The sequence below is a fragment of the Homo sapiens genome, chromosome 19 (genome assembly GCF_000001405.40).
Source record: "Homo sapiens chromosome 19, GRCh38.p14 Primary Assembly".
NCBI classification, from domain to species: Eukaryota; Metazoa; Chordata; class Mammalia; order Primates; family Hominidae; genus Homo; species Homo sapiens.
In genome coordinates, this window is record NC_000019.10 from 14,354,889 (window position 1) to 14,371,121 (window position 16,233).

A 16,233-nucleotide genomic window follows, 5' to 3' on the forward strand; every position below is an offset into this window, starting at 1 on the left:
CTAGTAGCTGGGATTACAGGCACGCGCCACCACACCCAGCTAATTTTTGTATTTTTAGTAGAGACAGGGTTTCACCGTGTTGGCCAGGCTGGTCTCGAACTCCTGACCTCAGGTGATGTGCCCGTCTTGGCCTCCCAAAAGTGCTGGGATTACAGCCCTGAGCCACTGCACCTGGCTGAGAAACATTAATTGAGCACCTGTGGTGTCCCTGGCCCTGTTTTAGGTGCTGAGGATACAGCAGTGAACAAGACAGAAAAACCCCTGCCCCCATGGGACTGACACTCTATGTAAATTCATGAATTAAAATATTAGAAGGTGATGTGCTATAGAGAAAAATAAAATAGAGGGGAAAGGTTAGAAAGGACTGGGGGAAGGAAGCTAAAATTTCAAATATGGGGGTCGTCAGGGAAGTACTCACTGAGGAGGTGACCTCTGAGCAAGTATGTTAGGCAGACAAAAGAGTGAGAGGGGCCAGGCGCAGTGGCTCATGCCTGTAATCCCAGCACTTTGGGAGGCCAAGGCAGGCAGATCAGTTGAGGTCAGGAGTTCGAGACCAGCCTGGCCAACATGGTGAAACCCCGTCTCTACTAAAAATACAAAAATTAGCCGGGCGTGGTGATGCCCACTTGTAGTCCCAGCTTTTCGGGAGGCTGAGGCAGGAGAATGGCTTGAACCCAGGAGGCAGAGGCTGTGGTGAGCTGAGGTTGCGCCACTGCACTCCAGCCTGGGCAACAGAGCAAGACTCTGTCTCAAAAACACAAAATAATAAAAAAATAAAAAAATATCTGGGGGAAAGGTGTTCCAGGCAGAGGGAACAGCGCATGCAAAGGCTGTGAGGCTGGACTGGGCCTGGCATATTTATTTGGGGAACAGTGAGGAAGCTGGGGTGGCTGGAGCCAAGTGAATGAGGGGAAGAGAGCTGGAGGTGACAGGGCAAATCACACAGCCAAGCCTTGTGGGCCTTGGGGAAGACTGGATTTTACTGGGTGAGGTGGGAGCCATAGAGGCTTCTTGGAGAGAGGAAGAGCTTGGTCTGAACGGATTCAGGTGCTCACAGGAAGAACAGACGGCCAGACCAACATAACAGCTGTCACAGATACAGGAAGAGATTTTATATCTCCCTGCGGTTGGTTTTGTTGCCTTTTCACACGACTCATGGGGCGAGGCACCAGTGGGGTGAGGAGCTGGGAGGACAGGCCACCCCAGAGTTCCCCTTCCCAGGAGTCAGGGAGCCCCCACCCCACCATGTCCCAGGACACACTCGGGCAGGGCTGCCAGGAGTGTTTGTGTTTCACCCTCTCTAGATGGGTGGAAATGAGGTGTGGCTGGGGAGGTGGTGGGGTGGCCAGGAGGGAAGCTGGGTCCCGGAGAGGCAGGACCCGTGAAGGCATCGGGGAAGGGGGTGCCCCCTCTGAGAAGGCACAGGGGTCTTGCTGTCTCCTTTCTCTATTTGAGTATCAAAGGCCTGCTCAAGCCCGAAGCTAAAGGGAAGGTCAAGGATGTTGGGGGTGTCAGGCTGTGGGTGGCTGGGTTTGGTCACAGCTGCAATTGTACTGCCGATAAGGACCCTCGAGGCTGAATGTCAGCCCGGCCAGGGTTGGGCAACATCCTGTTGGGGAAGTCTCTTCTAGTTATGGTTTTCGCTTCTCCAGCCCTGCCCTGACCCTAATGGGAGAATTACAGGCAGGGGAGCACACACTGAACGCGCACGTTACCAGAAACAGAAATAACTCCCTTTAAATTTTCCCAAGAATAGGATATACACGTGTAAAAAAATAATAATAATAATTTAAAACTTAGACCCAGCTGGGCATGGTGGCTCATGCCTGTAAACCCAGCACTTTGGGAGGCTGAGGTGGGTGGATCACCTGAGGTCAGAAGTTCGAGACCAGCCTGGCCAACATGGTGAAACACCATCTCTACTAAAAATACAAAAATTAGCCAGGCTTGGTGGCACATGCCTGTAATCCCAGCTACTTGGGAGGCTGAGGCAGGAGAATCACTTGAACCTGGGAGGCAGAGGTTGCAGTGAGCCAAGACTGAGCCACTGCACTTCACTGTGCGTGATGGGAGCAGAGACTCCATCTCAAAAAAGAAAAAAAAATTAGCCGGGCGTGGTGGCAGGTGCCTGTAATCCCAGCTACTTGAGAGGCTGAGGGAGAATCACTTGAAACCGGGAGGCAGAGGTTGCAGTGAGCAGAGGTCACGTGCCATTGCACTCCAGCCTGGGCAACAAGAGCGAGACTCCGTCTCAAAAAAAAAAAAAAAAAAAAGAACTTAGACCCTACCTCATAATCACACACAAAAAGTAACTAAATGACTAAATGAGACTAGGCGCAGTAGCTCATGCCTGTAATCCCAGCACTTTGGGAGACTCAGGTGGAGGGATCATCTGAGGTCAGGAGTTTGAGACCAGCCTGGCCAACATGGCAAAACCCCGTCTGTACTAAAAATATTTAAAAAGTAGCCAGGCGTGGTGGCTCATGCCTGTGATCCCAGCTACTCTGGAGGCTGAGGCCTGAGAATCACCTGAACTGGGGAGGCGGAGGTTGCAATGAGCCGAGATTGCACCACTGCACTCCAGTCTGGGCGACAGAGCAAGACTCCGTCTCAGGAGACAAAAAAAGAAAAAGAAATCTTTGAGACCATGGATTAGGCAAAGGTTTCTTACCTATGTCACCAAAACCACAATCCGTAAAAGAAAAAAATAATGAGCGAATTGAACTTCATCACAATGAAAACTTTTGCTCTTCAAAAGACATAAAGAAAATAAAAAGACAAGCCGCCAACTAGGAGGAAATATTTTCAAATCATTTTTCTGAAAGAATGTGTATCCAGAATATATAAAGAACTCTTAAAATAAAAACTCTTTATATAAGAATATATACGGAACTCAACAATAAGAAGGAAAAAAAATCCCAGTTTAAAAATGGGCAAAAGATTTGAACAGATGCTTCGCCAAAGAGGACATTTCGATGGTAAATATGCATATGAAAAGATGCGCAACAGCATTAGTTGTTACAGAAATGCAAATTAAAACCACAAGGAGATACCACTTCATACATCTATTAGAAGAGCTAAGATTTATTTTTTATTTTTGAGATGGAGTCTCACTCTGTCACCCAGGCTGGAGTGCAGTGGTGCAATCATAGCTCACTGCAGCCTCGACTTCCTGGGTCAAGCGATCCTCCCACTTTAGCCTCCCAAGTCACCAGGACTACAAGTGGACACCGCCACGCCTGGCTAAGTTGTGTTTTGGGGTTTCTTTTTTTTGAGACAGGGTCTATTTCTGTCGCACAGGCTGGAGTGCAATGGTGCCATCATAGCTCACTGCAGCCTTGAACTCCTGGGCTCAAGCGATCCTTCCACCTCAGCCTCCCAAGTAGCTGGGAACCACAGGCATGCACCACTCTGCCTGATTAATTTTTTGTTTGTTTGAGACATTCTCGTTCTGTTGCCCAGCTGGAATTCAGTGGCACGATCTCAGCTCACTGTAACCTCCGCCTCCTGGGTTCAAGTGATCCTCCTGCCTCAGCCTACAGAGTAGCTGGGATTACAGGCATGTACCACCACACCCAGCTATTTTTTTTTTTTTTTTTTTTGTATTTTTAATAGAGACTAGGTTTTGCCATGTTGGTCAGGCTGGTTGTGAACTCCTGGCCTTAAGTGATGCGCCCATCTCAGCCTCCCAAGATGCTGAGAATTTTTTTGTATTTTTTATAGAGACGGAGTTTTGCCACGTTGCCTAAGCTGGTCTCAAACTTCTGAGCTCAAGTGATCCTCCTCCCTCAGCCTTCCAAAGTGTTGGGATTACAGGCATGAGCCACTGTGCCTGGCCTCAGGTGAACTCTTTTTTTTTTTTTTTTTTTGAGACGGAGTTTTGCTCTTGTTGCCCAGGCTGGAGTGGAGTGCAGTGGCATGATCTCTGCTCACGGCAACCTCCGCCTCCCGGGTTCAAGCGATTCTCCTGCCTCAGCCTCCTGAGTAGCTGGGACTACAGGCGTGCACCACCACGCCTGGCTAATTTTGTACTTTTAGTAGAGACAGGGTTTCTCCACGTTGGTCAGGCTGGTCTTGAACTCCCGACCTCAGGTTATCCGCCCGCCTTGGCCTCCCAGAGCATTGGGATTACAGGCATGAGCCACCGCACCTGGCCCCAAGTAAACTCTTTAAATCATCTTTTATGCTTCAGCTTCTTCCTTTTTTTTTTTTTTTTTTTTTTTTTTTTGAGACAGAGTCTCACTCTGTCGCCCAGGCTGGAGTGTGGAGTGCAGTGGTGCGATCTCGGCTCACTGCAACCTCCGCCTCCCGGGTTCACACCATTCTCCTGCCTCAGCCTCCTGAGTAGCTGGGACTACAGGCGCCCACCACCACGCCCAGCTCATTTTTTGTATTTTTAGTAGAGACGGGGTTTCACATGTTAGCCAGGATGGTCTCGATCTCCTGACCTCGTGATCCGCCCGCCTCGGCCTCCCAAAGTGCTGGGATTACAGGGTTGAGCCACCGCACCCAGCCCAGCCTCTTTTATGTTGACAAATTCAAGTGTCCATCAACAGATGAATGGACAAACAACTGTGGTCCTCCCATGCAAGGAAACACTGGTTAGCAATAGAAAGCAACAAACTGTTGATAAACACAGCAACATGGATAAACCTCAAAAATATGCCGAGTGGAAGAAGCCAGACCCACAATATTACATATTGTACAATTCCATTTATATGAAATTTCTAGAAAAGGCAGAGCTCTAGAGACAGAAAGCAGATTAGTGATTACCTGGAGCTGAGGCTGGGAGTGCGGATGGATTGCTAATGTGGGGATTTGGGGGGAAATCAAAGTGTTCTCAAATGCTGTATTGTAGTAATACTTGCACAGCTAGGTGAGTTTACTAAAAGTCATCTAACTGTAGGTTTGTAATGGGCGAATTATAGGCTATATAAGTTATTCCTCAATAAGGCTATAAAAATGTTGCCCTAGGCCAGGCGTGGTGGCTCATGCCTGTAATCCCAGCACTTTGGGAGGCCGAGGTGGGCGGATCACAAGGTCAGGAGATCAAGACCATCCTGGCTAACACGGCGAAACCCCGTCTCTACTAAAAATACAAAAAATTAGCTGGGCGTGGTGGCGGTCGTCTGTAGTCCCAGGTACTTGGGAGGCTGAGGCAGGAGAATGACAGGAACCCTGGAGGCAGAGCTTGCAGTGAGCTGAGATCACGCCACTGCACTCCAGCCTGGGTGACAGAGCAAGACCCCATCTCAAAAAAAAAAAAAAATGTTGCCCTAAAAATTCGGCTATGGGCTTGTCACCATCCGATCTATTGACTCAACAAGTCCCTACAGTCCCCAACCCTTTTCTGAGCTCTGGAGGCACAGCAGGAAATAAAATAGACAAATATCCTGGGGCTGACATTCTCAGGGGGAGACAGAGAGGGAGCAAGATCAAGAACTAAAATCTAGCAGGGTGGGCCGGGCGCGGTGCTCACACCTGTAATCCCAGCACTTTGGGAGGCTGAGGCAGGCAGATCACTTGAGCTCAGTTCATAACCAGCCTGGCCAACATGGGGAAACCCCATCTCTACTAAAAAAAAAACAAAAATTAGCTGAGCGTGGTGGCGCATGCCTGTAATCCCAGCTACTCGGGAGGCTGAGGCAGGAGAATTGCTTGAACCCGGGAGGCAGAGGTTGCAGTGAGCCAAGATTGTGCCACTGCACTTGTCTGGGTGATAGAGTGAGACTCCATCTCAAAATAAAAAAAAAAAAAAAAAGAAAGAAAAAAAGTCCAGCAGGGTGGTCAGGCACGGTGACTCAGGCCTATAATCTCAGCACTTTGGGAAGCTGAGGCAGGAAGATCGCTTGAGACCAGGAGTTTGTGACCAGTCTGGGCAACATAGCAAGACCCCTATCTCTACAAAAAATAAAATAAACAAAATTAGTCAAGTGTGGTGGTGCACACTTGTAGTCCCAGCTACTCAGGAGGCTGAGGCAGAAGGATCACTTGAACCCAGGAGGTTGAGGCTGCAGTGAGCTGAGATTGCACCACTGCACTCCAGCCTGGGTAACAGAGTGAAACCCTGTCTCAAAATGTTCAGCACTGTCCTGGTCTGTAGATAGAAACCAAAACAAACAAATAAATTTATGTATTCATTTAATTAAATAAACCAAATTAGCCTGGCATGGTAGTGCAGACCTGTAGTCCCAGCTACTCAGGAGGGTGAGGCAGGAGGATTGCTTGAGCCCAGGAGCTGGAGGCTGCAGTGAGCTATGATCGCACCACTGCACCCCAGCCTGAGCGACAGAGCAAGACCCTGTTTCAAAATAAAAAGAAAAAAGAGAAATAAAGAACTAATATATACATCTCTTTAAAAGCAAACGAACAAAAGACTTGGGCCAAGCATGGTGGCTCACACCTGTAATCCCAGGACTTTGGGAGGCCAAGGCGTGCAGATCATCTGAGGTCAGGAGTTTGAGACCAGCCTGGCCAACGTGGTGAAACCTTGTCTCCACTAAAAATACAAAAATTACAACCGGGCGCGGTGGCTCACGCCTGTAATCCCAGCACTTTGGGAGGCCGAGGCAGGCGGATCACGAGGTCAGGAGATCGAGACCATCCTGGCTAACACGATGAAACCCTGTCTCTACTAAAAATACAAAAAATGAGCTGGGCGTGGTGGCGGGTGCCTGTAGTCCCAGCTACTAGGGAGGCTGAGGCAGGAGAGTGGCGTGAACCTGGGAGGCGAAGCTTGCAGTGAGCCGAGATCGCACCACTGCACTCTGGCCTGGGCAACAGAGCAAGACTCTGTCTCAAAAAAAAAAAAAAATACAAAAATTACCTGAGTGTGGTGGTGCGTGCCTGTAATCCCAGCTACTCAGGAGGCTGAGGCAGGAGAATCACTTGAACCCGAGAGGCGGAGGCTGCAGCCAGCTGAGATTGTGCCACTGCACTCCAGCCTGGGTGACAGAATGAGACTCTGTCTCAAAAAAAAAAAAAAAAAGACCTGAAGGGGGCGAGAGAAAGCCATGTGGGGATCTGGAGGAGGAGGTGGTGCTGCAAGTGAGAGTGAGCTGCCGTGCAAAGCCCCTAAGGTAGGAGCATGCCCAAAACGGCGAGGAAGCTGGCCTGGCTGAAGGGAATGAGCAAAGGGGAGAGAAGGAGGAGGTGAGGGCAGATAAGTGCTGAGCAGATCCTGCAGGGCCCTGTGGGCCACAAGAAGGAATTTGGCTTTTGCACTGAGTGAGGTGGGAGCCCTGGAGGGTCCTTGAGCAGAGGAGGGACGTGCCCTGACAGAAAAGCATGGAGCGGGCGAGCAAGGGCAGGAGCCAGGAGACCAGGGCAGAGGAGTCTGCACTGGGCCAAGGGGGAGTTGATGGGGCCGGACCAGGTAGGGGCTGTGGAGGAGGTGAAAAGTGAGTAGATGCTGGATAGATTTTGAAAATAGAGCTCTCGGGATTTGCTGATACAATAGAGAGAGAGAGAAAGGGACAGGGGCAGAGATAGAGGCCAGGCATGGTGGCTCATGCCTGTAATCCCAGTACTTTGTGGGGCAGAGGCAGGAGGGTCACTGAAGCCTAGGAGTTCAAGACCAGCCTGGGCAACAAAGTGAGACCGGGGAAGGAGAAGGAAGGAAGGAAGGAAGGGAGGGAGGGAGGGAGGGAGGGAGGGAGGGAGGGAGGGAGGGGAGGAAGGAGAAAGAAAGGGAGGAGAGATAGAGATAGAGGAAAGAAAGAAAGAAGGAAGGAGAAGAAAGAGGGAAGGAAGGAAGGAAGGAAGGAAGAAATGGAGGGAGGGAGGGAAGGAAGGAAGGAGAAAGAAAGGGAGGAGAGACAGAGATAGATGAAAGAAAGAAGGAAGGAGAAGAAAGAAAGAGAGGGAAGGAAGGAAGGAAGGAAGGAAGGAGAGACAGAGAACGAAGAAAGAGAAGAAAGAAGGAAACAGAAAGAGAGAACAAAATAAAACAGAGACAGAGACATGGAGGACTCCAAGTATTTTGCCCCAAGAATCTGGGCCAAAAGAAAGGAAACAAGGTGGCCGGGCGCGGTGGCTCCCGCCTGTAATCCCAGCACTTTGGGAGGCCGAGGCGGGCGGATCACGAGGTCAGGAGATTGAGACCATCCTGGCTAACACGGTGAAACCCCGTCTCTACTAAAAATACAAAAAATTAGCCGGGCGTGGTGGGGGGCGCCTGTAGCCCCAGCTACTCGGGAGGCTGAGGCAGGAGAATGGCGTGAACCTGGGAGGCAGAGCTTGCAGTGAGCCGAGATCGCGCCACTGCACTCCAGCCTGGGTGACAGAGCAAGACTCCGTCTCAAAAAAAAAAGAAAAAAGAAAAAAAAGGAAGGAACAAGGCTCAGAGAGGTCCAAGGAGTTGCCCTGGCGGTCCGGGGCCACAGTGGCCTTCATCCCCAGCTGAGATGTGTCCCCAGTCTAAGGCCACTCAGAGCCAGGCACCTTCTCCGGCTGCCTCCCAATCCCCGCCCCCCGCTTCCGTCCCAGCACCCTCACCCCGCCCCCGGGCCCCTTTGTCCTCCTCTTCGTCTTATTTCCAGAATTTCTCCTCCCTAGGGAATCCAGTCCATGTGCTTTTGATTCCTTTGTCCTGAACTCATGCGGCATGAGCACCCCTGAAGCCTTATGTGGAAAAATTTGGAGGCTGGGGGTGGGGAGGGGGTCACATTCCTCCCGGGGGTACAGAGCTACGTCGGCATCTCCAGGGCCCCCCAGCAGCAAGCAGGCATCCTCCCAGGCCAGGCCAGACCGGACGCTGCCCAACACAGGCTTTCTTTGGGGCTTGGCCGGCGCCCGACTACAGCCCCGGCTCCAGCTGCCCTGCCTGTCCCCCGCCCCCACGCCTCCCGTCCCAACCTCCCACACGTTTCCTCCTAGAAGCCCAGACCCGTGGGACTTGGCCTCCCCCGCGCCTTCCCTCTCTACTCAGCTCTGCAGCTCCTGTAGGCCTCCTCCCCGGGTGATCACAGAAGGACCAGCTCACCTTAGCGGGACAGGCAGGGCATGGGCGTGGCCAGAGCCTCGGGCAGGCATCCCAGGCTCCCTGGTGTCTCTCTCATCCGCTGGCCTCTGTGCCCTCTTCTCTTCCCCACCCCCGCTCGTGGCCCCTCCTGCCTCTCCATCGCAAAGTCCCCAGAGGAGTCTCCTTAATCACTTGCTTTTGACTGAATCCTGACCACCTGGACCCTGATCTAGCTACTGAGGAGATAAAGTAACCAACACTTAAAAGCTAACCTTCAGGCATTCTGGGAGGCTGAGACTGACGGATCACTTGAGGTCAGGAGTTCAAGACCAGCCTGGCCAACAAGATGAAACCTCGTCTCTACTAAAAATACAAAAAAATTAGCTGGCGTAGTGGCGGATGCCTGTAATCCCAGCTACTGCGGAGGCTGAGGCAGGAGAATCGCTTGAACTTGGGAGGTGGAGATTGCAGTGAGCTGAGATCGTGCCACTGCACTCCAGCCTGGGCAACAAAGCAAGACTCCGTCTCAAAAAATAAAAATTAGCTGGGTGTGGGGCCGGGCTTGGTGGCTCAAGCCTGTAATCCCAGCACTTTGGGAGGCCGAGGCAGGCGGATCACCTGAGGTCAGAAGTTCAAGACCAGCCTGGCCAACATGGTGAAACCCCGTCTCTACTAAAAATACAAAAAAAAATTAGCCAGGCGTGGTGGCGCATGCCTGTAATTCCAGCTACTCGGGAGGCTGAGGCAGGAGAATCAGTTGAACCTGGGAGGCAGACGTTGCAGTGAGCCGAGATCATGCCACTGCACTCCAGCCTGGGTGACAGAGCGACACCCTGTCTTAAAAGAAAAAAAATAGCTGGCTGTGGTGGCATGTGACTGTAGTCCCAGCCACAAGGGAGGCTGAGGTGGGAGGATTGCTTGAGCCCGGGAGTTCAAGGCTGCAGTAAGCTATGACTGCACTGCTGCACTCCACCCTGGCTGAGACCTTGACTCAGCAACAATGAAAAAGTGACAGGGCCAGGACTTGACCCCTGACCATTTTGTTCTACAGCCTTTCATGGGAAAGACAGATGAGTTTTCGACCTTCCAGAGCCTTTGATCCAGAGGAGAGAGGCAGGAAATAGCAAATGGATAAGAATATGCCATTCGGTGACTAGGGCAATGGAGATTGCAAAAGATGGTGGCTGGGAAATGGGGCTTGTGTCGGGGGTCCCTGAGACCACCCTCAGGGTCAATAATTTGCTGAGATTGATAGATCCCAGAAAAGTGGTGTTACTCCCAGTTATGGTTTATTACAGTGAAAGTTACAGATGAAAATCAGCAAAGAGGCCAGGCTTGGTGGCTCATGCCTGTAACCCCAGCACTTTGGGAGGCCCAGACAGGCAGATCATTTGAGGTCATGAGTTCAAGACCAGCCTGACCAACATGGTGAAACCCCATCTCTACTAAAAATACAAAAATTAGCCAGGTGTGGCAGGGGGCTCCTGTAATCCCAGCTACTTGGGAGGCTGAGACAGGAGGATCACCTGGACCTGGGAGGCAGAGGTTGTAGCGAGCCGAGATCCTGCCATTGCACTCCAGTCTAAGCAACAAGAGCAAAACTCCATCTCGAAAAAAAAAAAAAAACTAGGAATACTAGAGGAGAGGAGGTGAGGCAGACAGGCTCCAAGACTCCTCCATGATTCCCACCTCCTGATGTCTGCACTCTGTGTGATCCCTCGAGTGTGAGCTGGACCCAATAACTTGCTTCTAACAATAGACTAGGACAATGTATGCCAGGAGCAGTGGCTCACGCCCATAATCTCAGCACTTTGGGAGGCTGAGACAGAGGGATCACTTGAGCCCAGGAGTTCAAGACCAGTCTGGGCAACATAGCAAGACCCCATCTCTATAAAAATTCAAGCATTAGCTGGGTGTGGTGGTGCACACCTGTAGTCCCAGCTACTCGGGAGGCTGAGGTGGGAGGATTGCTTGTGCTCAGGAGGTCAATGCTGCAGTGAGCTATGATTGTGCCACTGCACTCCAGCCTGGGTGACAGAGTGAGACCTTGTCTCTCTCATATATGTGTATATATATATACATATATTTTTTTTTTGAGATGGAGTCTCATTCTGTTGCCCAGGCTGGAGTGCAGTGCAGTGGTATGATCTCTACTCACTCCAACCTCCGCCTCCTGGGTTCAAGCGATTCTCGTGCGTCAGCCTTCCAAGTAGCTGGAATTACAGGTGTGCAGTATCACGACCTGCTAATTTTTTGTACTTTTAGCAGAGATGGGGTTTCACCATGTTGGCCAGGCTGGTCTCGAACTCCTGGTCTCAAGCAATCCACCTGCATCGGCTTCCCAAAGTGTTGGGATTACAGGTGTGAGCCACCGCGCCTGACCTATGTGTATATATATACATATCTATAGATAGATAGATAGATAGATAGATAGATAGATAGATAGATAGATTTAATGTTACCATTTTATTCATCATGGTTTTGCATTAATCTTGACTTTTACAAAATATCACAATAAAATAATATTTATGAGTTCAGGACAAAGTTCTTGAGTTCTTTGACACCCCCTGAAATTTTGTTCCCAAGTCAAGCATCCACCTTGCCTCTCATTCCAGCCCTACAGCTTAATGATATGAGACCATCGTCATGCACAAGACAGGACTGGATGAGTGACATCTACAGATTCTGCTGCCACACTGGACTCAAGGCAGGTTCAGTTCTGCTGCAGTAACAAGCCAGGGAAAAAAATGAGCCAGGCATGGTGGCACACACCTGTAGTCCCAGCTACTTTAAGCCCCAAATCTCAGGAGCTTAAAACATCAGAGGTTTCACTTTTCACTCAGCCAGCATCTGGCATGTTGCCCGTTGCCAAGGCAGAAGAAAAAGAACATATAGCATGCTCTGCAGCAGCTCTTAAAGCCTCTGCCCAGAAGTGACACAAGTCAAACCTGCTCACATGCCATTGGTCAGAGCAAGTCACGTGGCCACACAAGTGGGTGGAGCAATGCCTTCCTACCTTGTACCTGGAGGGAGAAAGAGCTGGAATATTGGTGAATCGCTCAGTGATCATAGCAGTGTCCCTGGGTGAGGTCCAGAGGGCAGCTGTATGTCTGGAGGTAGACAGGGAGGTCCAGGTGGAGACATGTAAGAGGCTTTGGGATATAATTGGTATTGACTTCTTGGAGGGCCTGATCACCCCCTACTATGGAGGACACATGGGGGTCACCTGCCAGGACCCACAGGATGGGAATCCTGCCCCAGTCTCCTCTGAGACTGGATTTTTTTTTTTTTTTGATTTTTTTTTTGAGACAGGATCTCGCCGAAGTACAGTGGTGCAACCATATAGTTCGCTGCAGCCTCAACCTCTTGGGCTCAAGCAATCCTCCTGCCTCAGCCTCCCGAGTAGCTGGGACCAGAGTCATGTGCCATCAGGCCTGGGTAATTTTTAAACTTTTTTTGTAGAGATGGGGGTGCGGGTCTCGCTATGTTGCCCTAGCTGGTCTTGAACTCCTGGCCTTAAGCGATCCTCCTGCCTCGTCCTGCCAAAGCGAGCCACCGTGCCTGTCCTTCAGCCTGGATAAAATTTGTGGTGAAATACACATGACATGAAATGTTCTATCTTAACCATTTTAAGTGTACAGTTCAGTTACATTAAGAAAATTGTCAGGCCGGGCGTGGGGGCTCATGCCTGTAATCCCAGCACTTTGGGAGGCTGAGATGGACAGATCACTTGAAGTCAGAAGTTCAAGACCAGCCTGACCAATATGGTGAAACCCCGTCTGTCCTAAAAATACAAAAATTGGCCAGGCACGGTGGTGTGAACCTGTAGTCCCAGCTACTGGGAGGCTGAGACAAGAGAATCACTTGAACCCAGGAGACAGAGGTTGCAGAGAGCCAAGATTGAGCCACTGTACTCCGGCCTGGGCAACAGAGTGAGACTCAGTCTCAAAAAGAAAAGAAAATTCTCAGTTGGGCACAGTGGCTCACACGTGTAATCCCAGCACTTTGGGAGGCTGAGGTGGGCAGATCATCTGAGATCAGGAGTTTGAGACCAGCCTGGCCAACATGGTGACACCCTGGCTGTACTAAAAATACAAAAATTAGCCAGGAATGGTTGTGCACACCTGTAATCCCAGCTACTTGGGAGGCTGAGGCACGAGAATCACTTGAACCCAGGAGGCAGAGGTTGCAGTGAGCCCAGATTGTGCCACTGCACTGCGGCCTGGGCAACAGAGTAAGACCCCGTCTCAAAACAAAACAAAACAAAAACCAGAAAAAATAAATTCTCATAGTTGCCACTGACACCATCATTCATCTCCAGAACTTTTTCATCTTGCAAAACTAAAACTGTATCCACAAAACAACTCCCCGTTCCTCCTCCCTCCAGTTCCTGGAAACCACAATTCTACTTTCTGTTTCTATGAATTTGACAAGTTTAGTTACTTCCTGTAAATGTGATCATACGGTATTTGTTCTTTTGTGGCAGGTTTATTTCACTTAGCATAATGCCCTCAGGGTGCATTCATGTTATATGTACGAGAATTTCCTTCCTCTTTAAGGCTGAGTAATATTCCACTGTATAGATAGACCACATTTTGTTTATCCATTCATCTATCCATGGAGACTGGTTGCTTTCAACTTTTGGCTATTTTAGCTAATGCTGCCGTGAACATAGGTGTACAGATGTCTCTTTGAACTTTGCTTTCAATTCGGGTGTCTATGCAGAAGTAGAATTGATGGATCATATGACAATTCTATGTTTAATTTTTTTTTTTTTTTTGAGATGGAGTCTTGCTCTGTCACCCAGGCTGGAGTGCAGTGGCGCGATCTCCGCTCACTGCAACCTCCACCTCCCGGGTTCAAGCGATTCTCCTGCCTCAGCCTCTCGAGTAGCTGGGATTAGAGGCAGCTGCCACCACACCCGGCTAATCTTTGTATTGTTGTCCAGGCTGGTCTCAAACTCCTGACCTCAAATGGTCCACCCACCTCGGCCTCTCAAAGTGCTGGGATTACAGGCATGAGCCACCATGCCTGGCCTCTATGTTTAATTTTTTTAGGACTCTCCATACTGTTTTCCACAGTGGCTGCACCATTTTACATTGTCACCAGCAGCCCACAATGGTTTCAATTTATGGGGTTTTGTTTTGTTTTGCTTTTTTTTTTTTTTTTTTTTGGACAGGGTCTCACTCTGTTGCCCAGGCTGGAGTGCAATGGTGCAATCATAGCTCACTGCAGCCTTGACCTCCTGGGATCAAGCGATCCTCTTGCCTCGGCCTCCCAAGTAGTTGGGACTACAGGTGCATGCCACCATGCTCAGCTAATTTTTAAATATTTTTAGAAATGAAGTCTTCCTTTGTTGCCCAGGCTGGTCTTGAACTCCTGGCCCAACTGATCCTCTCTCCTTGGCCTCCCAAAGCATTGGGATAACAGTTGTGAGCTACCACTTCTAACCTATTTTCTGTTTTTTTGATAGTAGCCATCCTAATGGGTGTTAGGTAGTATCTCACTGTGGTTTTTATTTGTTTATTCATTTATTTATAGAGATGGAGTCTTGCTATGTTGCCCAGGCTGGTCTCAAACTCCTGGCCTCAAGTGATCCTCCCACCTCGGCCTCCCAAAGTGCTGGAATTACAGGCGTGAGCCACCGCACCTGGCCTGTGGTTTTGATTTGCATTTCCCTAATGATTGGTGACTTTGAGTATCTTTTCATAGGCCTATTGGACATTTGTCTGGCCTGGAATTTTAACAACTCTGTTTCAAAGGAAGCACAGAGTGTGGGTGTCAATCTCCTTGCCAATGTCAGGGCCGCCTGACCTCGTGGATAGCAGGCAGCCCAGAGCTGGCTCCTCGGGCCGGACAGAAGCTGGGCATGAGAGGCTGTCGTGGGAGTGACAATTCCACTAGGGGAATGCCAGATTGCCACTGAACTTTGTCACTAAGACCCACACCAAAGGCCCCAGAAAGCCCCAGTGACACTTTTGCCCCTAGATAGGAGGGTACCGACAGGAAATGCTGTCAGAAAAATGCCTCCTTGTACACTCAAAAATGGCTTTTGCCGTCTGCCCAGAGGGGCCCCTCTCCCCCTGACTCACCGTAGCAGCGCGTGGAGGACAATTTTGGCTGTGACAACGTCACGCCCGCTGCGGGGAGTTGATCTGCAAGCCACAAACGTCATTCATTCCTCTCCACCTCCAGGATTTGGAACATCTCCCCGGACCACAGATTTTTCCTTCAATCAACTTGCTTTTCCTTTAAAAAAAAAAAAAAAACTTAAATGAATTTATTTGGGAAGGAACTTTTATGCCACCACCACAAAAGGAAACAAAAGGAAACCAGGGCCATTTCCATAAGTAGAAAGCAACAGCAAAAGGACCTATATTTGTAGGGGTGGGGGTGAAATTAAACTTGCTTCCTGCTGTCGCCTGGTTGAAGCCTCAAGAGCCGGGACTAGGGTAGGGAGAGGGAGGTGCCCAGGCGTAGAATATAATGAGTCGCTCACTCGCAGGACCCTGGGATCCACAGCCTCACCCTCCAGTGAAGCTCTGGATCAAAGAGACTGCTCTTTTTGTTTAAAAAAAAAAATTGAAAGGAGACAAAAAGGGAAAGAAATAGGCCAGGCGCAGTGGCTCACGCCTGTAATCCCAACAGTTTGGGAGGCAGAGGCGGGAGGATCGCTAGAGCTCAGGAGTCCAAGACCAGCCTGGGCAACATAATGAGACCCCTGTCTCATTATAAAAAAGTAAAGAAAAAAAATGGGGAAGGAAATTAAAAACCGAAAGCGACGACTGAAGTGTTTAGAGGTGTCAGAGATATAGCTGTGAAAAACTCAGACTTCTTTTTTTTTTTTTTTTTTTTTTTGAGACAGAGTTTCGCTCTGTCGCCCAAGCTGGAGAGCAGTGGCGTCATCTCGGCTCACTGCAACCTCTCTGCCTCCCAGGTTCAAGCAATTCTCCTGCCTCAGCCTCCTGAGTAGCTGGGATTACAGGCATGCGCCACCATGCCCGGCTAATTTTTGCACTTTTAGTAGAGGCAGGATTTCACCATGTTGGCCAGACTGGTCTCAAACGCCTGACCTCAAGTAATCCACCTACCTCAGCCTTCCAAAGTGCTAGGATTACAAGCATAAGCCACCATGCCTGGTCTATTTTATTTATGTATTTATTTTATTTTATTTTTTTGAGACAGAGTCTCACTCTGTCACCCTGGCTGCAGTGCAGTGGTGCGATTTCGGCTCACTGCCACCTCTGCCTCCTAGGCTCAAGTGATCCTCC

The 16,233-nt window shown here is 49.9% G+C and overlaps 1 long non-coding RNA gene across 1 annotated transcript in view, besides 6 other annotated features; it reads right to left on the reverse strand.

The window, feature by feature from the left end:
* Window positions 1–9,102, reverse strand: part of LINC01841 (long intergenic non-protein coding RNA 1841) — a 58,533-nt gene extending 49,431 nt beyond the window's left edge. The window contains exon 1 of the long non-coding RNA NR_134908.1: window positions 8,984–9,102. This is a non-coding gene — a long non-coding RNA (long intergenic non-protein coding RNA 1841). The remainder of the gene's footprint in view (window positions 1–8,983) is intronic.
* Window positions 1,011–1,110: an enhancer, noted in NCBI's record as "active region_14160". NCBI's record gives its function as "activates an Ori minimal core promoter by ATAC-STARR-seq in GM12878 lymphoblastoid cells {active_cell/tissue: GM12878}" and the evidence as "EXISTENCE:reporter gene assay evidence [ECO:0000049][PMID:35858748]".
* Window positions 1,171–1,350: an enhancer, noted in NCBI's record as "active region_14161". NCBI's record gives its function as "activates an Ori minimal core promoter by ATAC-STARR-seq in GM12878 lymphoblastoid cells {active_cell/tissue: GM12878}" and the evidence as "EXISTENCE:reporter gene assay evidence [ECO:0000049][PMID:35858748]".
* Window positions 1,421–1,470: an enhancer, noted in NCBI's record as "active region_14162". NCBI's record gives its function as "activates an Ori minimal core promoter by ATAC-STARR-seq in GM12878 lymphoblastoid cells {active_cell/tissue: GM12878}" and the evidence as "EXISTENCE:reporter gene assay evidence [ECO:0000049][PMID:35858748]".
* Window positions 11,729–12,023: an enhancer, noted in NCBI's record as "tiled region #7322; HepG2 Activating DNase unmatched - State 8:EnhW". NCBI's record gives its function as "activates a minimal TATA promoter and a strong SV40 promoter by Sharpr-MPRA in HepG2 cells {active_cell/tissue: HepG2}" and the evidence as "EXISTENCE:reporter gene assay evidence [ECO:0000049][PMID:27701403]".
* Window positions 11,886–11,975: a silencer, noted in NCBI's record as "silent region_10243". NCBI's record gives its function as "represses an Ori minimal core promoter by ATAC-STARR-seq in GM12878 lymphoblastoid cells {active_cell/tissue: GM12878}" and the evidence as "EXISTENCE:reporter gene assay evidence [ECO:0000049][PMID:35858748]".
* Window positions 15,905–15,974: an enhancer, noted in NCBI's record as "active region_14163". NCBI's record gives its function as "activates an Ori minimal core promoter by ATAC-STARR-seq in GM12878 lymphoblastoid cells {active_cell/tissue: GM12878}" and the evidence as "EXISTENCE:reporter gene assay evidence [ECO:0000049][PMID:35858748]".